At 55.4% G+C, this 24,302-nt stretch overlaps 1 protein-coding gene across 16 annotated transcripts in view, besides 7 other annotated features; it reads right to left on the reverse strand.

The window, feature by feature from the left end:
* BCOR (BCL6 corepressor) overlaps positions 1-24,302 on the reverse strand; it is a 126,032-nt gene that overhangs the window by 86,357 nt on the left and 15,373 nt on the right. For 4 of the 16 annotated variants that reach the window (XM_047442219.1, XM_047442201.1, XM_011543930.2 and 1 more), the window contains exon 1: positions 8,866-9,031. The exons of 8 other annotated variants lie outside the window; for them this stretch is intronic. The gene's annotated coding sequence lies outside the window, so the exon portion shown is untranslated. Of the gene's footprint in view, positions 1-8,842; positions 9,032-24,302 lie in introns of those variants that run through there. 4 more of the 16 variants (XM_047442221.1, XM_047442208.1, XM_047442211.1 and 1 more) reach the window with 1 other exon arrangement.
* Positions 3,036-3,560: an enhancer, noted in NCBI's record as "H3K4me1 hESC enhancer chrX:39999891-40000415 (GRCh37/hg19 assembly coordinates)". NCBI's record gives its function as "activates a minimal SCP1, AML or CMV promoter by ChIP-STARR-seq in naive H9 embryonic stem cells {active_cell/tissue: H9 hESC(naive)}" and the evidence as "EXISTENCE:reporter gene assay evidence [ECO:0000049][PMID:30033119]".
* Positions 10,920-11,463: an enhancer, noted in NCBI's record as "H3K4me1 hESC enhancer chrX:40007775-40008318 (GRCh37/hg19 assembly coordinates)". NCBI's record gives its function as "activates a minimal SCP1, AML or CMV promoter by ChIP-STARR-seq in naive H9 embryonic stem cells {active_cell/tissue: H9 hESC(naive)}" and the evidence as "EXISTENCE:reporter gene assay evidence [ECO:0000049][PMID:30033119]".
* Positions 16,184-16,233: a silencer, noted in NCBI's record as "silent region_20754". NCBI's record gives its function as "represses an Ori minimal core promoter by ATAC-STARR-seq in GM12878 lymphoblastoid cells {active_cell/tissue: GM12878}" and the evidence as "EXISTENCE:reporter gene assay evidence [ECO:0000049][PMID:35858748]".
* Positions 19,012-19,751: an enhancer, noted in NCBI's record as "OCT4-NANOG-H3K27ac-H3K4me1 hESC enhancer chrX:40015867-40016606 (GRCh37/hg19 assembly coordinates)". NCBI's record gives its function as "activates a minimal SCP1, AML or CMV promoter by ChIP-STARR-seq in naive H9 embryonic stem cells {active_cell/tissue: H9 hESC(naive)}" and the evidence as "EXISTENCE:reporter gene assay evidence [ECO:0000049][PMID:30033119]".
* Positions 19,752-20,491: an enhancer, noted in NCBI's record as "OCT4-NANOG-H3K27ac hESC enhancer chrX:40016607-40017346 (GRCh37/hg19 assembly coordinates)". NCBI's record gives its function as "activates a minimal SCP1, AML or CMV promoter by ChIP-STARR-seq in naive and primed H9 embryonic stem cells {active_cell/tissue: H9 hESC(naive and primed)}" and the evidence as "EXISTENCE:reporter gene assay evidence [ECO:0000049][PMID:30033119]".
* Positions 20,610-20,659: a silencer, noted in NCBI's record as "silent region_20755". NCBI's record gives its function as "represses an Ori minimal core promoter by ATAC-STARR-seq in GM12878 lymphoblastoid cells {active_cell/tissue: GM12878}" and the evidence as "EXISTENCE:reporter gene assay evidence [ECO:0000049][PMID:35858748]".
* Positions 20,670-20,939: a silencer, noted in NCBI's record as "silent region_20756". NCBI's record gives its function as "represses an Ori minimal core promoter by ATAC-STARR-seq in GM12878 lymphoblastoid cells {active_cell/tissue: GM12878}" and the evidence as "EXISTENCE:reporter gene assay evidence [ECO:0000049][PMID:35858748]".

The raw sequence follows: 24,302 nt of genomic DNA on the forward strand, positions 1-24,302 counted from the left end.
TTCCTTTATCTTTCCCCAGTCCTCTCTTGCCTCTGGCTCTTAAGACATCTACCATTCTACACTTCCTATGTGAAGAAAATTCCAGACAACTTTGTCTGTTGGGGGGCCCCAAGACTCTCTGGCTTGCCAGACAGTGGAGGTTTCTGGGGTTGCACCTACTTGCTCTCTCTAACCCTTGACTTTCTGATCTCAGGCTTTTGTGAGCCTAGGCTTCACCCTGAGAGAGAAGATCTTACCGGTCTGTGGGTAAAACAAATGCTAGCTCTTTCTTCAAAGATGGTTCTATTAGCAGGGCAGCAACTAGCCAGGCTATAAAAGGGAAGTGGACGGGGGGCGACTTTCCCTCCAAATATCTTTTTTTTTTTTTAAGACAGAGTTTCACTCTTATTGCCCAGGCTAGAGTGCAATGGCGCTATCTTGGCTCACCACAACCTCCGCCTTCCGGGTTCAAGTGATTCTCCTGCCTCAGCCTCCCGAGTAGCTGGGATTACAGGCATGCGCCATCATGCCCGGCTAATTTTGTATTTTTAGTAGAGACGGGGTTTCTCCATGTTGGTCAGGCTGGTCTCGAACTCCCGACCTCAGGTGATCCACCCGCCTTGGCCTCCCAAAGTGCTGGGATTACAGGCGTGAGTCACCACTCCCGGCCTCAAATATCTTTTTAATAAGCACAGCTAGAAACTCTCCATGAGTGGAAACTGGTCACAAGAAGCCCCTGCTACTTATGTGCTGAGCGTAGGCAATCCTCTCAGGCGAGGGACGACTACGAAGCCACATTCCCGGTTTTCTTGGGTCTCTCTCATGGTTACCAAGGAAAACTCGGAGGCCATCAACTCGGCCAAATGACTTACATGCAATCACCAAAGCAAAGTTAATACCAAGTGTGTTTAAGTCTCAAGTGTCCCTAACACCTATTAAGCACTTTCTAGATGCCAGGCACTATTTTATTATTTATTTATTTATTTATTTTGAGACGGAATCTTGCTCTGTCACCCAGGCAGGAGTGTAGTGGCACGATCTCGGCTCATTGCAACCTCCGCCTCCCGGGTTCAAGCGATTCTCCTGCCTCAGCCTCCCGAGTAGCTGGGGTTACAGGCACCCACCACCACGCCTGCCTAATTTTTGTATTTTTAGTAGAGACGGGGTTTCGCCATGTTGGTCAGGCTGCTGTTGAACTCCTTACCTCAGGTGATCTGCTCGCCTTGGCCTCCCAAAGTGCTAGGATTACAGGCGTGAGACACCGTGTCTGGCCCAGGCACTATTTTACATGCTTTATGTCCATCAACTAATCCTCCCAACATCATTAAATATATTGTATCACTACCCTCCATTTCACAGATGGGGGAAGTAAGGTGGCGAGAGTAACTGCCTCAGGTCACACAGCTGGTCAAGTTGTAGAGCCAGGTTTTGAACCCAGACAGTCTGGCTCCCCCATACTAACTACGACATAGTCTTCGCTATTTAATCCTGCAAGCTTTAGGAAATGCCCACTATGCACGAGGCACACTAATAAGGTGCTGGGGGCTGGGAGGAGGGGGATGAACAAGCAGGCAACATGTCTATGAGGGAAAAGTACTCCTAAGTAACAGTTTAAGATAAAGTTAAACTAATTCAGACCTTTGAAGGGGTTTTGAATTCTTTCCAAGGGTAGGCGTGTTGAATAAATATAATGCTTTTGAAAACCTGCCTTCATATATGGGTGTTCATTGTACTGCTCTTTCAAGTTTTCTGTGGGTTTGGGATTTTTTTCAAAATAAAATTTAAAATATATATATATATATAATATATATACATATATATATATATATATATAATATATATACATATATATATATATATATATAATATATATACATATATATATATATATATATATATATATATATATATATATATTTTTTTTTTTTTTTAAGCATCAGCCTTAATAGGCCAGGCGCAGTGGCTGACGCCTATAATCCCAGCACTTTGGGAGGCCAAGGTGGGTGGATCACGAGGTCAGGAGATAGAGACCATCCTAGCTAACACGGTGAAACCCTGTCTCTACTAAAAATACAAAAAATTAGCCCAGCGTCGTGGCACACGCCTGTAATCCCAGCTACTCGGAAGGCTGAGGCAGGAGAATCGCTTGAACCAGGTAGGCAGAGATTGCGGTGAGCCAAGATCGTGCCACTGCGCTCCAGCCTGGGTGACAGAGCGAGACTGTCTCAAAAAAAAAAAAAAAATCAGCCTTAATAGACTATCTTGGGAAGAGTAAGCAATAAACTGGGAGCACTGGTTGCCTTCAGAGAGGCAAACTGAGTGACTGAGAAATGCGGGTGGGAGAGGCACCAAACATCCTTTTATAGCCTTAGAATTTTCTGCCAAGTGCAGGTGTTACCCATAACATCTGCCATGAACTTGATGTCACCTGGGCGGACCCTTTGGAGAGAAAGCACGGAATTCCCAGCTCCCAAGTCCCATTCAGCAGGTCAGCTGCTGGGAGTATGAGGGAGTCTTTAGTTTCCCAGCTTTATGTGTAAAGTGGGCAGAAACACACCATCAGACCTTTGGCTTAAAAAATATATATATACCTAAGCGGGGTGCAGTGGCTCACGGCTGTAATCCCAGCACTTTGGGAGGCCGAGGCGGGAGGATCACTTGAGCCCAGGAGTTCGAGACCAGCCTGGGCAACATGGTGAGACCCAGTCTCTACAAAAAAAAAAAAAAGAAAAATGATCCAGCTGTGGTGGCACATGCCTGTAGTCCCACCTACTCGGGAGGCTGAGGCAGGAGAAGCACTTGAGCCTGGGAGGTCGAGGATGCAGTGAGCTGTGATCACCTCACTGCACTACAGCCTCAGCAAGAGATAGATGGAGACCCCATTTAAAACAAACAAACAAACAAACAAAAAAACCAAAAAACTATGCCTGAGGAGTAATACCAGGGATTGCTCTTTCTCCTGGTTTTAGTGTAAGCACAATGAAGTTTTCAGCTCCATGGGGCTTATCTCTCTTGGGGAGACTTTATGTTCTCTAAGGAGGGGCCTGGGTCTTGTTAACCGGGGGTTTCCCCGAGCCACCCCAACAGCCACAAGCACAGTGCAGGACAGACAAGAGAGGCTTGAACGAATGCTAGTTGAATCACTGACTATGCTGTGTTCACCATCCACGAAGGACCATGTGGTCCAATATCCTTCCTATTCGTATGTGTGGGTAACTCTTGGAGCATGGATGCCACACTTATGACAAGTGAGCAGTGATTCTCAGCACAGAATGTGATATTTTTCTGTTGCACAAAGTTAAACAGTGACCGAGTGTCCACAATTGCCCAACATGGCCTGAAGCTGCCAGCCAAGGAATTGGGTCACCCCTGGTTCACTCTGAGGGGCTGGGGGATCCCCGTCTTGACCCATTGGCAACCCACTCACTCTTGGGAAGCTCTGGGTGAAGGGATTTTGGAAGCCATTCCCTGGCTCTGGAACTAGCAACCCACAACTAGAAGGGGGAGGGGGTGGTCTGAGAGGGCTGCCAAGGGGCAGCAGGGCTTCCTGGGGCTTGGGCTTGCTCTGGGGTGTGCCCAGGTTTTTGGGGGGCGACGGGGCCTGAGCAGTGGGCTGAAGAGGGCACGCTGCCAGCTCTGGTTGGCCCAGGGCCAGTAAGTCTGACTGAACTTGAGCCAGCCCTGTTGGCCCACAGACTCTGGAAGCTGAACTGCTCCAGCGCTCCTTGGCCTCTTTGTTTTCACTTCCCCACAGCTCTCTCTTAGTGTTTAGGAATGTGCTTTGAAGGTTCCAGCGTGTTTCGCCTCTGCTTAGGGAAACCAAGAGCAGAGGCTGGGCCCAGGCCAGATGGCTTGAGGAAGGGCACCTGTGATCACACTGAGAGCGCCCCAAGGGGCAGGTGGAATGCATGGGGCACTTAAGCTAGCCCCCTTCTCTGCTGGGAGACTCCGTGTGCAGTGCTAAACCTTGGAGATTCTCAGGTTTGTTTTGTTAAGGGAGGCAGTATTCCCTTACCAGCTCCCCCAGAGAGCCTACATTTGTCCAGGAGCTTTTGGGGATAAGCTGTGCTCTTCTGCTTGTTCAGGGCAAGAGAGAGAGCTGTAGCGTGTGCTTTTCTAGCTAGAAAAGTTGCCTCCTTCGTTGGCATTAGAATAAGTTTCCTGGCCTGCCTAGGGCAACAAAGTCAGGCCCTCCAAGGAAGGGGAAGTGAAGATGGCCTCTCTCGCACTCCCACCACTGGGAGGACAATCTTACAGGCGCAGGTGCTTAGCCAGGTAGGGTTTGGCTCAGGGAGGCCATAGAGGGGTCCATTGCTACAGGTTGCCCTCTGGCCTCGATGCCCACCTGTAAACTGCTATCTTCAAGAGTGGAACCCAGAGTGGTTGGCTTCCTCCTCCCATTCCCCAGCCCCTTCACCCACTGTCTTTCATGGCCTTTGTCACCAGGCACATATAAAGGGGAGAGTCTTCCCTGCTCAGTCCTTTGAGGGCTCATAGTGCTGGTAGCCCCCTTTGATGCCAGCATAGTGCTTTGCACACAGCAAGTGCTTAATAAATGCCAAATGACTAAAATACCAGGCCTCTTCAGTGACCAAGAGCACTCTGGATCTTTCTCTAACCAGCAGTCACTTTCCTCCTCTGGCTGTTTTCTGAAGCTGGGAGCTCTGGGTTCTGGTCTCTTTTGCCACAAACATGTCACCCTGAGCTAGTGTTTTCACCCTCTCAACTGATTTCCTCCACTGGGTTAAACAGAGCTCAATTAAAGCCCTGGTGGCTCTTGTATGACATCTGCATACATTCTTGTTTGCCGGCTGTCATTTTAGCTTCAGGTTGGGTCACTTCGATCCTGCCTGGGCCCAGGTGCTAGTAGGGTCTTTAGCCTTCAGCTGAAGGTTCTCCCCTGCTCCTCCACCATCTGTTTGGCTTTACAACACACACCTAGTCCTTGGACTCTTGACACATCTGTTCCTTTCTGTCCCCACGGCCATTTATACAGCTCCAGCTCCTGTGCGTGAGGGGGCCGTGGCACATGAGCAATAACTCCGATGCCACAAGGGCACCTGAGTCATTTTTCTGCAGCCAACACTGTCTGGAGCTACAGCAGACCTCCCTCCTGCTCTGTGGTGACATAGGCCCTGTTCAGGTATGTGTGGGCTATGGATTTTTTTCCCGATTTCCATTTCTCCTTGATTTCAGCACCCAAGTGAACATGCACTCCAAGGCTCTGCTGAGGGTAAACAGAAAGCACCATCGCAGGGGTCCTTCCTCCTCTCTCTCGGAAGATTCACTTTCTCTTCCTAGGTAATGACTGCTTTTTCCTCCCAGCTTCCTCTCAGCCTACGTATATTTAGTGCACGTTGCCCTGGATAGAGTTTAATTAGGCACCAATGCACCCAGGGGCAAAAACCAAGGACCCCTCTCGGGTTGAGCAAATGGGGCCAGCCTCCCCTGGCTGGTAAATGACGAGCTGAGCTGCCGGCAGGTAGAGGAGGTTGTCCATTCTCAGCTAATGATCGCCTTAGGCGCCAAGTGATGGAAAATCCAGAAGGACTGGCGAGCTGCAGGGGGCAGCCAGGGACAATTGTATGGACCAGTTTAACATGGCTTCCGGAGGGATGGCAGCAGGAATGCTGTGTGTCTGTGTGTGTGTGTGTGTGTCTGTGTGTGTTTCCTGGTCTCCTTTCTCTCCCCTCCCTGCCGCCTTTCCCTCTCTCTTGCTTTCGATTTTCTCTTCTGTTTCTAGCCCACACGAGTTGAAATTAGAAAGGTCTTTGAATTCATTTATTTGTTTTAATAAAAGCAGCATTTTTAAGCAGCATATTTGTAGCAATTGATTGTTAAACTAAACACCAAGCCAACTAAATGTGTTAGGGGGAAATGAAAAGTCAGTTTACAAGAAACATAATTAACACGTCCTTTGACTTCTCCTAAGCCTTTGTCTGGCTAGGGACAAGACAGAGGAACCATAATCAACTTTAATAAAACGAAAGATGGTATCAAGGCCAAAGGGGAACAAAAAACTTTGGAGTAGGAAACAAAAGCCAAAGAGGGGATTCTTAAGTTATAACAAATATGTTAAAAAACAAATCTTTTGGCCAGGCGTGGTGGCTCACGCCGGTAATCCCAGCACTTTGGGAGGCCGAGGCGGGTGGATCACGAGGTCAGGAGTTTGAGACCAGCCTGGCCAATGTGGTGAAACCCCGTCTCTACTAAAAATACAAAAAATTAGCCGGGCCTGGTGGCGCGTGCCTGGTAATCCCAGCTACTCGGGAGGCTGACACAGGAGAATCGCTTGAACCCAGGAGGCAGAGGTTGCAGTGAGTCGAGATCGGGCCATTGCACTCCAGCCTGGGCAAAAGAGCAAGACTCCGTCCTGAGAAACAACAACAAATCTTTTGTTTCCTAATTTTTGGTCATCAGCCATTTTCTCCTTACCAATAGGAAGGCTCCGGTTTGAACTCTACCTGTTCATGGGGACAGATGCTGAGACCTGGAGGGGAAGAGGGAAGGTGGTACAAGGAACCTGCAGGAGACTGCAGTATCAGGTGGCAGTATCAGGAGGCTGATAAATCCAGGCTAATGGAAATTACTATTGCACAACACCAGAGTCTTCACGTGGCCTGACTTTCAATAAACTGTTCCCCTCCTCACTCCTTGGAGAAAGTGAAATAAGACATTAGACTTTCAGTAATCTCATATGGTGATGATCAATCGAAACCTGGAGAAGAAGGCCAATTTATAGAAATTGTATCTGCTTCACTGGGTGGCTGGAACCAGGGAGCTGAAAAGAAAACGGTGCTCGCCTTTGATGTGTGAAGTTGCCCCAAAATGACAAACGCCAAAAAACACTGGCTATACATGTGGGGTATTCAAAGGGAGAGGGTACTCAGGAGAGGCCTTTGTTAGGTGGATCATTGCGGGGACCTGACCAAAGACACATGCACATGTTCAGGCCACATAAAAGCGATTTATTTTTCTTATCTTTTGGCTATTTTAAGTTGGAGTTTCCATCTTTCTTATTTGTTTTATCACCAATGAAGTTTATTTACTGAATTAACTTTTAACGGACCCTCCACTTTGTTCTTCAGAGTTGGCTTCCACGACTTGCGCCTGTTTAGCCAGGATTCCTCTTGCCTTTGTGACCGCCCCCCCTCCCCGCCAAATCCCAATCCTGGAGGTGAACGGCTCAGTCTCTGTTAACTCCTTGCCTGCTGGTGTTTTTTCTCTGTAGCTACTAATCACCTCCTTTTGATCACTGCCAAGTTCTCAGGTTGAAGGAAGGAGAAAGGACCTCTTGACCACTCTGGCTGGCTTTCCACATGAGCCTGAAAATGTCGACAAATTTGAAACATCTGCCGAGCTGCTTTGGTCTGATTGCTAAAATATGCCGACCTCAACCCCCCTCCCCCCGCCCCTTTTAATCTGTTTCATATTCACAAATTAAGCATTTAGTCTGGGTAATAAATCAAGGCGGTTTACGAGGCTCACACGAGACAAACAAGCGAGAAGGGCGCAACACAAGCCCCTGGAAGAGGACTGCACGGAGCTGCCAGGAGTCGGGAGCTCCCAGCGCTCGAACGCGGAGAGCAGCCTGGCGCGTCCTGACACGCCGCCAGCACCCACACTTTGGCAGGTCCCAGAGCCGGCGGGGCGCAGGCGAACAGCTCCGGACTGGGCCCACACCCCTGGAACCTTCCGCGCGAACCCGCGGCGCCCGGCCCGCCCCAGCTCTGGGCAACTCAGCCCCTCCGCCCCGCTAGGGAGTGGCCGCTGGCAAAGGGGACAACCTCACCCGACACACACCCTGTGGTGGGCCCATTAAGTCTCTCCCAGCCAAGCCGAGAAGGCTGAATCCCCCTCCCCCACCTCTACCATCCGGCAGGGCTTGGCCTTAAAGATCCCAGGCCCACACTCACCAGAAAGGCAAAAGAGTCCCCGTTCAGGTCCACGTGTGACCTCCACTAAGCCTGGAGGCTACCCCCTCCCCGCCCCAAACTCTCCGTGCTGCCTCCTCCCAGGTTTCGGTCCCAGCAGCCACAAAGCTACTTTCAGATTCAGATAGGGGTGGGGGTCTCCTGGAGAGCGGATCAAGGTTTAAGAGCGGCTGGGGAGGGTAGCAAAGGCACAAACAGGGTCCAGGCCCCCTCTGCAGAAACCCCGGCCCAGGCTTTTGCGACCACCCAAACTCAGGGGGCTCCAATCTGTGCGTTTCCCGCCCTCCCCTGTGCAGCAGCGAGAAGCGGACCCGGATTAGGGGTCTGGGACCATTCGCAACCCACGAGCTTGGGAGACCCCGGTGGGGAGGGTGGCTCCGGGGTCACCTCGACCGGGCCTCTGTTGCCCGGCTATGCTCAAGTTCCCTGTCGACTGGCGTTCTCGATGCTATCGTGGGACGCGGCGGCGGAGAGGCGGAGGGCGGGAAATCGGGAAGCCTGAACATGCAGCCCACCCCGGACCTAAGGGGAAGCGTAGGAACAATTCCCCACCCTGCAACACAGTACACGTCGCCCTTCCTCTTCCCCTAGCACACATTCCGACTGCGAAAGCCATTACTGCCGGCGCGCGAGAGACTTTTTAAATATTTACAGCCCGCTCTCCGCACGGTAGCCTGATCCATCTCGTGGGCGCGGAGGCGGGGCGCGGGGCTCCGCTCCCGCGGAGGCGCGGAGCCGGGGCTGGGGAGCCCGGTGCCTCCCCCCACGGCCCTGAGGTCCTCCCTGCGCCCCCACTCTGTTTAACCCCCAGGTGGGGAGAGGACCCCGAGACTGCACACAGCGCGCCCGGGGCCCTGCCGGGGCCTGAGCGGGCGGGGGACAGTGTCCGGGAGGAGGGAGGGCCGAGAGGCTGATTTAAAGGTTCTCACCGGGAAGCGAGCGAGGCACAGACCTGAGAGCCGCCGCGCGGTGAAATCCGAGGAGCTCTCTTGGCGAGGAGGGGCTGTCAGAGGCCATTTATCTCTCGCCAGAGTGGAGGCTCAGCTCCCACACCGCCCGCGAGTAACAATGGCAGCGATCAGCAGCTCTGCACGCGCTTCAGTGCATGAATGGATTGCGGAAGATGCCTGCGTCCGCTCCGCTCAGGAGGCTCTAGGAGCGCCCCCTCCCCGCCCGCCGCGCCCGCCCCCGTGGCCTCCCTAGGCCCTGCGGGCGCCTCGGGGTTCGCAAGCTGGGCCCTGCGGCGCGATCACTCTCACCCAGAACCCCCGCCGCCGTTCCCAGGGCCTTGGCACCTCGCCACCGAGTGTCATTGGGGGCTGAAATTTGACACAAGCCTTCCTGGCCTCCCCGACGCAGACACCGCTGTCAGCCCCCTCCTTTCTTCGCGCCCCTAGCCCCTGGCGGCAAGTTTACTTTCAAGGAGTTGGACCGTGTTTCCGCCGCAAAGGCCGGCGGCGTGCGGGCCCGGGAGGAGGGGGCGGGCTCGGAACGTTTCCTTCACCTGCTCGGCCGCCTGGGGTGTTTGTAGGTCCCCGCTGGCCCCCAGCCCTAGCGTCCATACGCGGCGCTCCCCAGCTTTTGGCGGCTAATCCACCGAGAGTCCCTGCGATCCGCACATGCACGTGCACTCTGGATACCCTCGTCCCAGCCCACATCAGCGGCAAAATCATGTACCCAAATTCTCTTTCTTGGCGGCTTACAGTCTTGAAAGTTGGGAGAGCGCCACAGACCTCGAAGTCTGCCGCAGAAATGTTCCCCGTCAACTCTGCAAAGTAGGTCTCATTAAAACAAAACAAAACAAAAAAACCCTCCAGTTTCGGCCTAGGGCTGAGAGAAGCGGGAAACGCAAGTGAAGGATACCCCAATCCCTCGAGTTTGTTTTGGTGGAGCTAAACCAGAAACCCGGGGATATTTCTGTTTGGGGGACCGCCAAGCCCGGGATGCGTCTGCCTAAGGCGAGGTGGGGAGAAGGAGAGCGCAAGAAGTGGACACTCGCAGCGATCCAAAGGCAAAGCCAAGTACCCCGCGGGAAGAGGCCGAGCTGACCCAGGTTGCAGGAAGACCGCCACATGTGCGCAAAGACGCACTCGGAGAGGCAGAGCGCGACCCGCCGACCTAGGAGACTGGCGAGGACAGGCGAGAAGCTGACAGCAAGACAAAGCGGGAGTAGAGAGCCAGGGAGGCTCGGTCGAAGACCCGAAAACGAAGGCAGCAGCAGCCGCCCGAGTCCCGAAGCGGAGGCGTGCGCAGCCAGGCCCAGCCTGGCATAGCCCCATTCTCACGCCTAAGGACGCGGACACAGACTCTTGGCATGACTTCCTGCCAGAGCTGGTCTCTGTAGGGCTTGGGCCTACAGTTGGCTGAGGCCTTCCCAGCAGACAGTGGGGTCCCCAGGGGAGGTCTTCAAGAATCCGGGCCCCTCTGGTTTCCGCCCCCTCCTTGAGCCCAGGACAAAGGTAGCGGGTTTGAGGAGCTCGGACTGTTCTCAGGGCGTCTACAAGGCCATCAGAGAGCTGGTGCCTCCACTCTCAGGGCCTCGGGCAACTTTTTATCTGACTTGGCGGCGCTGGAGGGCTGCCACTTTCCACCGCATTTCCATTTGGCCTTCGCAATTGCAATACCCTGAAGGCACTGCCCACACCCTAGCCTTCCAGCAATCGGGATTCAAGCTGGACTTCCCATAACCAGCAACAGTGTAACGTGAAGACACTCCTAGACTCAGGTTTCCCTCAACCCTTCTCCCGCTTGTCCGCACACGGGGCGGATCAACGCCCCCCACCCACGGCCCCACCCCCGCGGGCTCCGCAACCCAGGGCCGCAGCTACCGAGTGTGCTTCTCCTCCCTCCCGAGGCTGTTGGCTTTAAACACACTTGCTGCACTCACCCCCACCACACACTCAGTCGTTCTCACCCTTCCTTTCTCCCTGCTGGGCCTCCTCCAAACCGGATTGCCTAGCCTGAATGCAGAGTCCAGGCAGAGCAGGAAGCCTGAGAGATCAAGCAGAGGTGGCCGAGGAAACAGAAGAGAGGGCCCTTCATGGGGGAGGAGGCCCATGTCTGAGAAAGAAGGCAGCCAGGAGACACAGCCTGCAGGAGAGAGGGAGTATAAAGGGAAAGCCAGCACTAATCCCTCAGCCTGCCTACGTGGGGCCTGACAATTTACAAAAGCCTTTTCCCCGAATATTATCTCATGTGCCGCGGCAGCCTCACCACCAGCGCTGTGAGGGAAGTAGGACAGATAGCATCACCCCCATTGGCAAAGGAGGGAAATGGGGCCCAGCGGGTTGAGAGAGGTCTGTGCTAAGGTCACAGCGCGAAGAGTGGTGGAAGAGGCCCGAGGCCTGGGGTTTCCTGCCCCAAAGTTAACTTTCCTGTTCCATCGTTGTGTATGTGTTTCTGGGTGAGCATCTGCATGGAGGGGAAGGACTGCCGGACAGGAATGCACAGTCCAGTTAGGGAAGTCCAGGAAGGAAGAACACAGCCCCACACCTCTTCCTCTGCCCGGGTCTCACACAACAGCCCCTGCTCTTTCCACAACAGCCTGGAGCCGGCCCCCCACCAGCCTGCCTGGGGGGAGCTGTTAGTGCCTGGCTGTGCCTTCAGTAGTGCGGATTTCAGAGATCTCGTATCCTCTGCTCTGCTCCGCTCCGCTCAGCTCTCTTCTCAGCCTGTCATCCCCACCCCCAGCCTCGGCTGCAGGATGCCTTGCGTCCAACTGTGGTTTCCGGGCAATAAAACAACTATTAAAGTCTCAGGCACGGCTGGTGATTTGCATCACATCCTCTTGTGCATGGATTCAATGTTTAATACACAATATTGAATACGGATATTAAAAATCAATAGCTGGGGACCCCTGGGGAGGCGGCACAGTGCGATCCTGCTTCGGGAACACAACCAGCTCTTCTAAAAAGACAGGAACGGCAAGTTCAGCCAAGCTGAGCCCAGCGCCAGGGGAAGTGAGGAGTAGTGGATGCATCTCAGCTTCCTGATATGCTTAACTGCGCCATTCCCAGGTCAAGCTAAAGGGAAGCCAAAGGAATGGTGTGCCCCTAGGCTCTACTAGCTTTGAGATGGGAGGGTGGGGAGGTACGGTTTGTTTCCAAGCAGGGTACCAGCCAGGTGCGCGGAGTTGCTTTTTTTCCTTGTTATTTGCACTTAGGTTTGGTTCGAGTCTGAGTCTTACATGCAGGCTCTCAACTCTTCCCACCATGATGGCTCCTTCCTGGGCCTCATGACATCCATCACCATAGGCCCCATGGGGAGCTCTTGGCATAAGCTTTCAGAGAGATGGAACAGGAATCCCAATGGCTCCGAATATGCTTTGCACAGTAAAAGAAATGTGAATGCATGATACCAGGCTCTGAGCTGCAATCTTCTGAGGCACTCTGAGCCTTCAGAACAGAAATCCTCAGGCCGTGTGACCCGCCTAAAGGCCTGGTGATGGCTGAGTGGTGACAGAGGAAAGGGGACGAGAAGGAGACTGGGACATCGAAGCATTCCTGCTCCAGAGCCAGAATCCAGATTGTCCGTTAAACAGCCAGGAGAAGAGCAAGCTCCCAGGATGCATAATTATCTTTTCAGGCCTGAAGAGGAACATGTATTACTCTCTTCTTTATCAAAACATAGAAATATACCTTACCCTAAACAGAAACAAGGTTCTCACAGACTGATGGGGTAGGAGTGAAGGAGAATAAACATCTTTGAGAGGATTCAGTTTTTTTCCACTACGGAAAGGGAAGAGAAACTGACAGTGGGAAACACACTTAGGTTATCTGATTGGAAAGGCCTGGGGGATTTTAGATGCCAAAAACTGTGTGAACTTGACCTAGTGAAATGTCATCTTAGACACCAAATTATAATAATAATTTTATGGATTCATTTTTATCATAGTTTAAATCAATAAGGATTGAGTTGGAAATCTTGCTCTAGTTATAAATAGATGGAGAGAACACCTCAGGAAAACTCCAAAGTAGTAATTTGGGTAAAAGTTAGAAGCGGAGGAAAGAGGTGGAAAATGACAGTTAATGAGCCTGTGGCCTCCACTCTTTGTTACCTAACAGTTGTCAGAGAACCATCAAAGGGAGGGAACAGGCGCCCTTCTCAGAACCATCACAGGAAAAGCAGACATTCTCTGGCTGCTGCAGATCCCCCCGGTGGTGGTTCCTACACCCAGCCTCCTGGGAGTTTGCCTATGTGTATTTATGTGTTTCCGGGCTGGGGAGTGTAGCTACTTTCACAAGATTGGGCCCTGAGCCTGTGAAACCCACTAGCGAAAGTTCTACCACGAGGAAAAGCCATTCTAAGGCAATGCTGGAGACCAGGAACTGCTCTGCCATCATCAACAATATCTTCATGATTCCTGCACTAGCAAACTGCTTCACATCTTCCCACCTCAACCATGGGGCCGAGCTCTGGGCCTCTTACAGATCCATACAGGCGGGACCTTTTGCAGCTAGCACAGATGTGTGGTTAAGGCATGAGACAGCTGGCCAAGGGGAAAGGAGGCTAAGGCTGGGGATGGCTGGGAAGGACCAAGGCCCAGGAGGGCCTCCTGGTACAAGCATAGAACTGACCCAGCATGGGGGAGTTGTACCTCCAGAACCCACTAAGGGTGGCACTTCCCCCCTGGACCCACCAGGTACTCCAAACCAAGAGGAAAAGCATCCTTGTGGCATGTGGGTGGATTAGGCCCAAGGCGCAGGTGAGCTCTGCTGCAGAAGGAACCTACACACCAAGTCCCAAATGCCCAAGTGCTGACAGGGATTGGGGCAAGCAGGAGGGAGGGGGGATCTTTCTGCCTCCCATCACCTCACCCTTCTGTAATGTTTTCCTGGAATGAACAGAAGTCGCCAGCAGAGTTGTTCCTGGAGCCCCTCCCTCCGGGACTGTCACTACCTCCTGGTGTAAGACAGGGAGGACCATGGCCTTCTGCCGGGAGGATCCTCTGGCTAGTACCCGAGCCTTGGATTCTGGCACGAAGCCTCACAGTTCCGATAAGGCTTTACCTCCCTTCCCACGTCTCGAAGAAAAACACCCCCTGGAACTGCTGGGGTGAACTCGGAGCCTGAGGCCAGGGTCAGCGGGGGGACGGGTCCCCACCACCACCAAGTTGCCGGCAGAGGTAACAGCTGTGGAAGGGGGAGGGGAGCGACAGGCAGCCACGACTGAACGGTTGCGATCTAGAAAATTCAACAAGAGGCCGCAGCGGTGGCGGCGGCGGCGGCTCCAATTAGCTGAGCCAACTGGGGAGGCAGAGAGCGAGACGGCGGCCCCGCCGATCGTGTCCCGGGCGAGCAGGCAGGCGGGGGCGCGGGGCCTCGAGCTGCCCCGGCGGCCCTCGCTCGGCCCCTCCCGTGGGTTCTCGGAGCGCGCCTGGTGTTTACACACTGTCCTTTCGACGTGAGATCAAGTTTCAGGCCGCGCTGGAGGCGCCAGGGGCCGGCCACAGGCCCAGGAGAGGGGAAGAGGTGGAGCGGGATCTAAGGCAGCGCTGCGCCGACGAGAAGGCCTGGCGCTCGTGGGCACAGCTAGTGCAGCGGTCCCCACGGGGTGGGGTGGAGAGAAGTTCACTGGGCACGGTGGGTAGGGGTTGGTGGGGTTGCAGGGGGGTATCCGGAGAGAGAAACACCTCCAAGTCACTAGAGTATTTGTCTTTCGCTCACTCGGGCCGGGGAATTTAGTCCTGCAAGGGGACAGGCGGCGGCGGGGATATGCTCAGAACCCAGGCGCTTCGACAGCCCTGAGCGCCCCTTGTGCGCTCTTCACCCCTCCCCACCCCGTCCCTTTGATATACTACCGGATCTAGGCCATTGTTACGGGGAGGGGTATGTGGGCCGAAGGAACTCGGGGTTGGAGACCTGGAGCTTCCCAGCGCGCCCTGGCCCTGGCGCTGCGGAGGCCTCGGGTGGAGTGCTGGAGGGCTCGCCGCTGCGCATCTCCTCTGAGCTGGCAGCCAGCGGGTGCCCCACGCTGTCAAGCGGCGGCGGGTGAGCTTCCAGCAGCACAGGCACACTGTAAACAGCCGCGTGCACGCCCTCCCCGCCCGGGCTGGGAACCTCACCCAAACACCACGCCGCTTTCTCTCCGGCTACCGGGCGAGGCTTTTGTGGCCAAGCCTAGGGGAAGGGGGTCCCCACCCCACCCCCAGGCCACCCGGGCCCCGGAGCCAGCGTTCTGAATCTGCAGGAGTGCGGGGTGCTGCGGGGAGGGGAGGGAGTCAGCGCCTGCCCCCTCCTCACTGAATGTCTGCTTTGTTCCGGAAAACAAGGGAAGCATTAGGCGGCTGCCCCCGGGGAAACACAAAACTTCTTTTTGAATCTCGGGAAAGGCGGTTGACTGCATTAAGGAGCTCCCGAGACAGAATGAGGAAGGGAAAAGCCGAGAGGGCGGGAGGAGACAGGGAGACTTCCGCGGGAGGCCGATGGTCAAAGTGGGGGGTGAAACCGCTCAGGGTGACCGGGCTGGAGACCCAGGAACCCGATTCGGCGCGAAGGTGCCGCGCGAGTTCCAGCGAGCAGCCTGCCCGGCCAAGTGGCGCCTGCCCAGCCGTCGGCCGTGCCAGCTTCCTGCCCTGCCCAGGACCGCGGAGCAGTCGGGGACGCCGCCGCAGGCTGGCCCGGAATCGCAGGACAGCGGCGGGGGGAGGGGGTAGCCAGGCCGCAAGTAAACTCGCACTAGAGCTTTCTGCACACCTCCGCCCTAGAGAGGGGGCCCGGACCCCCGGTCTGTGAGGCGTCGGCTTTGGCCTTCCAACCTTGGGGTGCGCGAGGAAGCAAAGACCCAGGGGGCACCCCCACCCTCGCCCAAGGCCCGAGGGTGGGGGACAGCTGAAATGTCTTTGGTCTTGTTTGATGACCGCTTGGCGGATCTGCTCCCATCCGGGTTCTGCCGTTCCGAGAGTGCCGGGTCAGTGATACCCAGGCCGGTCTGAGCAGGCATGTGGATGAGCAAAAGCAAATCTGTCGCTCCTCCGACCGCCACCCCTCACTTAACCTTTCCTGCATCCAAGGAAGGGGAGGGCACCCAGACTCTGCCCCACCCCCCGCGGGGCGCTCCCTCTGCCTCGGAAGCTGAGACTAAGAGCGAGGGTTTTCCCCCTTTCCCCTGGGCTCGCTGGGTTTCTAACTTCCTCTAAACCTCCCTCCTCGCTCCGAAAAGCCCCGAGGAGAGGAGCTGAGAGGAAGCACGCCGCTAGTGTGCAAAATGAAGACCATGTGTGAGGACGGCGGCATCAGAGTGCAGCCGCGGGGGTTAGGGGGTGGCAAAGGCCCCCGCGCGGCCGGAGGCTCGGGGCCGCAGCAGCCAGTGCCTCTGCTCTGCGTTGGGGACTCGGAGCCGCAGCGAGAGGCAGTGGAGAGGCAGGGCTGGCCTCGTGGCGGGAGGCGAGGAGGGGGTGCGAGGGCTGCCGCGCCGTGGGGGGCAGGGGGCGGGGACGCAGCCCCGGCTTCCTGGGCCGCAGCTGCGACCGAGGGCGCAAGAGCAGATCGTGCTCTGCGGCGGTGGCGGCTCGGGCCCGCCGCTCTAGCAGCTGAGAATCAACAAAGGGAGGCGGCGGGGGAGGGGCGCCACCGAGCGTTCGCTGGCTGCTCTGGAATAATAAAAAATAATTAATAATGATAATAAGAGAAAAATCCCCCGGCTTTCATGGCTCTGGGTTTCCGTGTGGCTGCAGCGGGAAGCGCGCTGTCCTTGAGGCGGCCTCTCTCGCCTGGCCTGCCCGCCCCTCCCCCTCCTCGCCCCCTCCCCTCCCCAGGAACCGGGAAGAGAAAGGTCTGCAGCTGACAAATATTATCCATTCTCCCCATCGATCGCGGAGTGTACAGATGTGAGCGCTTGATGTGCCCGCGGAGCGGCGGATCCTCCCTGCTCGCTCGCTCTCGCCCAGGCTCCGCTCGCCGTCCCCCTCCTCCCCCTTTGTTCTCCTCCCCTTTCCCTCTCTTTAAATAGATTTCAGGGCGCTGCCTGTTGGAGAGCAGCTGGCGATCTCTCCCGAGAGAGGGAGCGAGCGAAGCCCGAGGTGCCCTGTCACCAGCCTCCCCTCCCCCACCTCGGCTTTTCTCTACGTCCCCCCCACCCCACCTTTCTCCAGTTTCCAAAATAGAAAACACCGGGAACACCCACGTCCACTGCACCGCGAGCCCCTGGGAGCCTTTGGACCCCTCGTGCTGTTCCTTGTGTCTGTGTCTGTGCAGAGGAAGGGCAGTGCAGGGAGGGGACCCAGGGCCGCGGCAGAAGAGCCAAGGGTCCGGATCTTTCCCTGGCAGCAGCAGGGACGCAGCGTGGGTCACGCTAACAGGGTACAGTTTACCCATTAGGGAAAGTCGGCGGAGACGGCCCTGTTATTCCTCTTTTGCAGATGGCAGATTAATCCGGCAGCACCCGGCCTCAAAGGGACCGGCTGCTCGGCAAAGGGTTAACCCGTCGGCCGGTAATCGTGGACACGCGCGCACACACACACACGCACGCGCGCGCGCGTCCTCTCCGCCTGCCCGAGCGCCCGCCGCGGCCCGCAGTGCGCCCGGGGCTGGGGGAGTAGCTGCGGGAGGGGAGGGGGTCGGGGGAGGGGCGGGGCGGGCTTAACCAGGCCGCTCGACTGAGCCGGGGCCACCTCGCCGTCTGTCACTTAAATGATTGTCCTCCGCTCCGCTCAGTGCGGTCAGTACGGGCTGTTAACAGGCAGTTGCAATCAGTTTCCGAAAGGTCAGCCAAGGTCCTCCGGCTCTCGCAGACGGAAGGCATTACGAAACCGCTTTTGTATCTGCAGGCACTTTAGAAAAAGAGGCGAGAAGGGGCGCACCGCAGTGCCGCGGCTGCTGCGACCGGGGGAGAGGGTCGGGGGCTGCGGAGCAGAGGAGTCCGCACCCCCGCGGCCAGGGTCAGGCGGCGTGGATATCACCCGCGGAGTGACCCAGGGCCTCCGGGTTTCGGTGGGGAAGCAGGAAGGGGGTGGGGAGCAGGCGGCAAGGGAAGGAGGAGTGGGAGGAAGTGGGAGAGGCGTCCTGGCTCCTCTCCTCACCCAGCCAACAGCCCACACCCGGACCCAGACGGGAGCGGGCGGCCTTGGACGCGAGGAGACCCCACTCGGACTCTCAGGCCCTCCTGGCGCCTGGAAGTAGGGAGGGGGTGTGGGGGGGGGAAAGACCCTCGCCGAGCGAGCGAGTCCCAGCGCGGTGTCTGAAGACGCTGCTGCCGCCGCCGCTAGAAGTCGTCCATCAGCAACCAGTCCAACCTGCCAGTGATAATGTGCGATCAACACCAAATCACCCCCGCCAGGCGCGATCCATCATCGCAGCGCGCCGCGGGCCCGCGTGAGGCTGACTCGCGGCTGGGGTGGGGAGGGGGGGCGCGCGGAGCAGGAGGCGGTCGCCCAGCACACCCGGACTCTCCGCGCACCTCGCTGCCCCTCCTGGAGGCCTGCACCCAGGCGCTCATAACTCTCCAAGTTCCCCAGCTACAGAGCGAAAACCCAGTGGCTCCGAGTTCTGGGCACAGCTCACTTAGGAATCCGCGCGTCCTCCGCGCCCTGCTGTCGTGGTCACACCCTGCAAAGCCATTCCAGCCTCGGAGCTGCCCTGCCCATCCCCTCCCCCTCCTCCGAGAAACCGTGGCTGGCAGGAAATTAATATTTAATATCGTGAAATTGATTAAAGGGCTGGAAGCCGGCGATGGGTTGGGGGGAAGGGTAGGGACTCCTAGCGTAATTAAAGATCTGAGAGTCGTGGTCGTTCCTTGTCGGCCCTGGCCGCACGTGGCCTTTGTGAAGCCGAGGCGGGGTCGGACTGGGCTGAGCCTGGCGAGCCGGGGTCAGGAGCCCGTGCAGCTTAGGCTCTGGCCCGCGCGGCCGGGTTTTTTCGGGGCGGGGGTAGGGCTGGGGCGGCACAGCAGCGGCAGGGGATGAGGAGGTGACCTTAGGGCACCCGGGGCTGCGCGCAGAGCCACTCTTCCCCTGCCCGCCTGCACCGTGGGCCACTGGAGCCCGAGGGTCGGGTGCTACAACTGCTGTCTTGCTTGTACAGCACAGAAGCGCCTTTACTGACCAGGTGGCCTCGAGGGCGCACCGCCTACCCCCCAGGCCCCCTTTCAGCAGCCTCACTCTGGGCCCCGCTTCGAGGCGCCTCCCCAACCCCTGACAGGAGTCTTCTGAGCCCCCCACGCAGCCCTTCGGGAGGGGAGTCAGGTTCACCTTTCCCCCTGCAACTTGGAAATCCTAGGGCTTAGGCGCCCCGGGGCCCCCCGCCGGTTCTCTCCTGTCCAGGCCCCAGCCTGGTACGCTCACGCCTGGGGCAGCTTAACTCGTTCAGCTGCGCTGCAGATGGGGCCTGCTGCTCGAAGCCGCTGTCTCCAGGGAGTCGTCACCGAACCAGCTCGGCCAGCCGCCTGTCGTGCCGTTTAAGGTTACCGCGCTTCCCGCGAGGGGCATCGGGACTGGACCGGGCAGGAGGTGGGTGCAGCTGAGGCTCCCTGGCCACCCGAGCTAACGCTAGGAGAGGAATTCGGTGTGCAAAAGGTCAGCGGTAACCCATTGGCCCTGGCTACAGTTTAGAAGTCGAATGGTTGGCTTGGTGGTGGGGTGACCCCAGCTCACGGAGGCCTGGCTCCAAAGGGCTGATGTGAACTTTTTCTTGTATCTGATTTTTTAGTGAAGCACTCTGAAAAGTACCAAGTGTGCAGAGGGGAGAAAACACAAAACACATCAAGCTGCGTCCTTGGCCCTAATCAGGGGAGCAGGAAGGCCCTCCAGACTCCAGGCCCTCCAGACTCCAGGCCCGCTGTGGGGAAGGTCAGGACCACAGAGGATTAGGCCCAGTCTTGGGTTTATTGCTGTACTTGAACAAAGTGCCGGGGGCTGCCTAAACTGGAGCAAGAGAGAGGTAATTAAGAGGGCCTGCAGAAGGAAGTAAAGGCTGGTGTGGCTGCTGCCCAGGGTAGGTGGAGGAAGTGTTTTCCATAAGAATAACAAGCCGGTGCAAATGTTATGCAGAAAGACTATTTCACCAAAACAAAACCAAAAAGTTCACATTCTGCCTCTCAAGCTGAGCTGATAAACAACATGCAAACTTTGGTTGGAACCTTGAACCAGTGGGAGGTGTCAACCCAGTTTACAAAGGGTAATGGGGAACCGTTTCTGGGTACTTCTCTGTTTCTACCATTGTGATTCTACCTGCATTAGCTGCTCCCTTTGGGGGCCCTTCTGACCTCCCAACCTGAGCCCAGCGGGAGATCACTCAGAATGCACCGCATTCATCAATGCCATTTCTGGTAAATTGGACCTCAGGTTTTGGAGTGTCCTAGGAGGCAGGCAGCCTACACTGCGCGCATACCGATGTCACAGCAAATGTGAGGAACCGCACATATTCTGTAGCCTTTACTGCCTTTACTAGAGAATACCGTGGATTTCACAACCAGAAGTAGCAGATTTTCCAAGACATTCCTGATTTCAAGTGCTTTGAGCCCTGTGTTTTTACGGGGCATGAAGCCCTACCTGCGGTTACTAATGTCGAATTGCGCACCAGAGGTGTCCCAGGGCTGGAAGAAATGGCTTGGGTGTGGGGCTGGCACCCAGTGGTCCCCGCTGGTCCCCTGTCCACCATGTCTAGCCAGGCGGCCATCCTCCTGGCCGTCCCGATCCCAGCCGGGGCCCGTCCAGGTAGGGCTCCGGGCAGGGGGCCTGTCAGGACGAAGTGGCAGGACTGGCCCTCGGGGTCCCCGTGGGTAAAGGAGGAGCGGCTTCGCGCCCTGGGACAGCGCGCGCCCCGGCTGACACGGGGCTGTCGCCGCTTCTCCCCCGGACGCGGGCGGCTGCGCACCGGCCGCCATCTTGGCCCGGCTGCGCAGGCGGCGCTGCCCCCGGCGGTAGGACCGCGGAGCCGCAGGCTGGGCCGGGGCTGCCGCGCGGGCGTTCCCGGGCTGCCGGGGGGCGCTCCCTCCCGAGGCCCCCCTCCCCGCTGCGGGCCACGCTGACCCAGGTCGGGGACGATGGGGCGGCCGTCCCTGGTGAAAGCGTGGCCTGTAGTGTCGCCCCTCCTCGAAACGCTGGAGCGGATTTTAATCCTGAGAAACGACCTCTGGTTCCCGGACTCCCGCGATGGTCAACGTGTTATCGCTTCTCCCGCGCACCCCAGAACTCTGTCCCCAGAGGCAACCTGCCGAGGCAGCTGGGGGTGGGGGGCGAGGCCTACCCACCGTTCACAGGGCGCTGTTGAGGCCAGAGAGGATTTGAGAGTTACCACGGTTTAGGGCTCCTGATTGGAGAACACTGGAACTTTATTTGTCCACTTTTTGAATTTAACATGCATTTATGGAGCGCTTGCTAAGGGCGAGGCGCTGTGTTAGGACCTAGGGGGATCCAAAAGTACAGAAGTGAATTTTTAAAAGACACCTTTGGCCCCCTCAAGTAATTTACAATCTAGTTGGAAAGGCAGACTTGTAAATGACTGAACACAAATAAAAGGCACCGTGAGGTGAACGTAAATAAAGGGCATGAATCTTGCAGTAAATGGCCTGGGTAAAGGCCAATTATTTTAAAAATAATCTTTATTTCTAAAAATGTAGAATCAGTTCGGGGGGGAGGGGAGGGTAAAGATTTACTAATACTGAATATTTCCACGGTTCCCGGGGCTAACAGTCATTACTTCTGAAAAGTTGTTGTTTAGGAAAAATGATGAAAGTTTATTTCAACCAAGCAAAATATCAAATATCAGAAACTCTGGATTAATTTCTCAGCTCTTGACATTAGCTGGGTGGGACAGACACAATTTCCCACCAAAACACAATACCCCATTTGAAATCAGTAAAAACTCCCACCGCATTTCATAAAAGTGTTTTTTTTGTTTGTTTTTTGTTTTTTGAGACAGAGTCTCGCTCTGTCGTCCAGGTTGGAGTGCACTGGCGCGATCTCCGCTCACTGCAAGCTCTGGCTCCCAGGTTCACGCCATTTTCCTGCCTCGGCCTCCCGAGTAGCTGGGACTACAGGCGCCTGCCAACGCGCCCGGCTAATTTTTTTTTTGTATTTTTAGTAGAGACGGGGTTTCACCGTGTTAGCCAGGATGGTCTCGATCTCCTGACCTCGTGATCCACCCGCCTCGGCCTCCCAAATTGCTGGGATTACAGGCGTGAGCCACCGCGCCCGGCCAAAAGTTTTAGAAAATAAAACTAAATGGAAGATTGGAAACTTTTTGAAAAAGTTTTCAGATTTAAAGAAAATAGGGATTAAAAAAAGAAACACAAAGCAAAAAAAGATCAGCCCATTTGCAGATGGTCTTCAAGATTTGGACATGCAGAAAATTGTCCTCAGATTAATTGTACAGAGGTTGGAAAGTATGGGAAAAGTAGTCATAGGTCAAAGAAAATTAGGCAAATATAAAAATGAGGCAATTATTAACTCCAGGAAAAAAAAATCTTACAAGAAAGGAACTGCAATCACTGAAGCTCATTTGGCTCAGCAATGAATGATATATATGTGGTTACAAAGTAAACACTGGATATGAATTTAGTAAGGCATTGTGCTCTAGTGCTATGGTAAGAATGGAGAAGGGAAAGTATGGTACAGAGATCTGAAATCCCCCTCCACCATCAGATGGTTGACATGGATTACTTTTTTTTTTTTTTGAGACGGAGTCTGGCTCTGTCGCCCAGGCTGGAGTGCTGGAGCGCAGTGGCGCGATCTCGGCTCACTGCAAGCTCCGCCTCCCGGATTCACGCCATTCTCCTGCCTCAGCCTCTCGAGTAGCTGGGACTACAGGCGCCCGCCACTACACCCGGCTAATTTTGTGTATTTTTTTTTTAGTAGAGACAGGGTTTCACTGTGTTAGCCAGGATGGTCTCCATCTCCTGACCTCGTGATCCACCCGCCTCGGCCTCCCAGAGTGCTGGGATTACAGGCATGAGCCACCACGCCCGGCCGGATTACTTTTTCTTTTTTTTCTTTGAGATGTAGTCTCACTCTGTCACCCAGGCTGGGCTGGAGTGCAGCGGCGCGACAGAGCGAGACCCTGTCTCAAAAAAAAAAAAAAAAAATCAGTCAATCAATAAAAAGAAGGCTCCCAAAGACCTCCTCAACCAGCCCATTACTGACACTAGAAAAGTTCCTTTTTGGAGTTGTTTAATTTTGATTGGAATTTCTTTCTTCAGATGATCCTCTACTTTTTTTTTTTTTTTTTTTTTTTAGATGGTGTCTCGCTCTCTCGCCCAGGCTGGAGTGCAGTGGCACAATCTCGGCTTACTGCAACCTCCACCTCCCAGGTTCAAACAATTCTCCTGCCTCAGCCTCCTCAGTAGCTGGGACTACAGGCACACTCCGCCACGCCCGGCTAATTTTTTTTTTTTTTTTTGTATTTTAGTAGAGACGGGGTTTCACCATGTTGCCCAGGCTGGTCGCGAACTCCTGAGCTCAGGCAATCTGCCCACCTCGGCCTCCTAAAGTGTTGGGATTACAGGCGTGAGTCACCGAACTCGGCCTTTTTTATTTTTTTTTTTTAATTTTTATTTATTTACATATTTTTTGAGACAGGGTCTGTCTCTGTTGCCCAGGTCGAAGTGCAGTGGTGCGATCTGGGCTCACTGCAGCCTTGACCTCTGGCTCTCGGGCTGGAGCGATTCTCCCACCTCAGCCTCCAGAGTAGCTGGGACTACAGGTTCATGCCACCATGCCCGGCTAATTTTTGTTTTTTTGTTTTTTGGGGTTTTTTTTTGTTTTTTGGGTTTTTTTGAGACGTCGTCTCACTCTGTCGCCCAGGCTGGAGTGAAGTGGCGCGATCTTGGCTCACTGCAACCTCCGCCTGCCAGGTTCAAGCGATTCTCCTGCCTCAGCCTCCTGAGTAGCTGGGATTAGCGCCACCATGCCCGGCTAATTTTTGTATTTTTAGTAGAGAAGGGGTTTCACCACGTTGGTCAGGCTAGTCTCAAACCCCTGACCTCGTGATCCGCCCGCCTCGGCCTCCCAAAGTGCTGGGATTACAGGTGTGAGCCAGAAACCAGGCCGATTCTCCCCTTTTTTTTTTTTTTTTTTTTTTTGAGACTGAGTCTCGCTCTGTAGCCCAGGCTGGAGAGTGCAGTGGTGCAATCTGGGCTCACTGCAAGCTCCGCCTCCTGGGTTCACGCCATTCTCCTGCCCCAGCCTCCCGGGTAGCTGGGACTACAGGCGCCCGCCATCACGCCCAGCTAATTTTTTGTATTTTTAGTAGAGATGGGGTTTCACCGTGTTAGCCTGGATGGTCTGGATCTCCTGACCTCGTGATCCGCCCGCCTCGGCCTCCCAAAGTGCTGGGATTACAGGCATGAGCCACCGCGCCTAGCCCTGTTAGGGTCTTGCACTCAAACACCTACATCAAGTACATAACGGTCTGCAGTGAACAATATGCCTTAAAATCTTCATATTCATAAACCAAA

Source organism: Homo sapiens, chromosome X (assembly GCF_000001405.40).
Source record: "Homo sapiens chromosome X, GRCh38.p14 Primary Assembly".
NCBI lineage: Eukaryota > Metazoa > Chordata > Mammalia > Primates > Hominidae > Homo > Homo sapiens.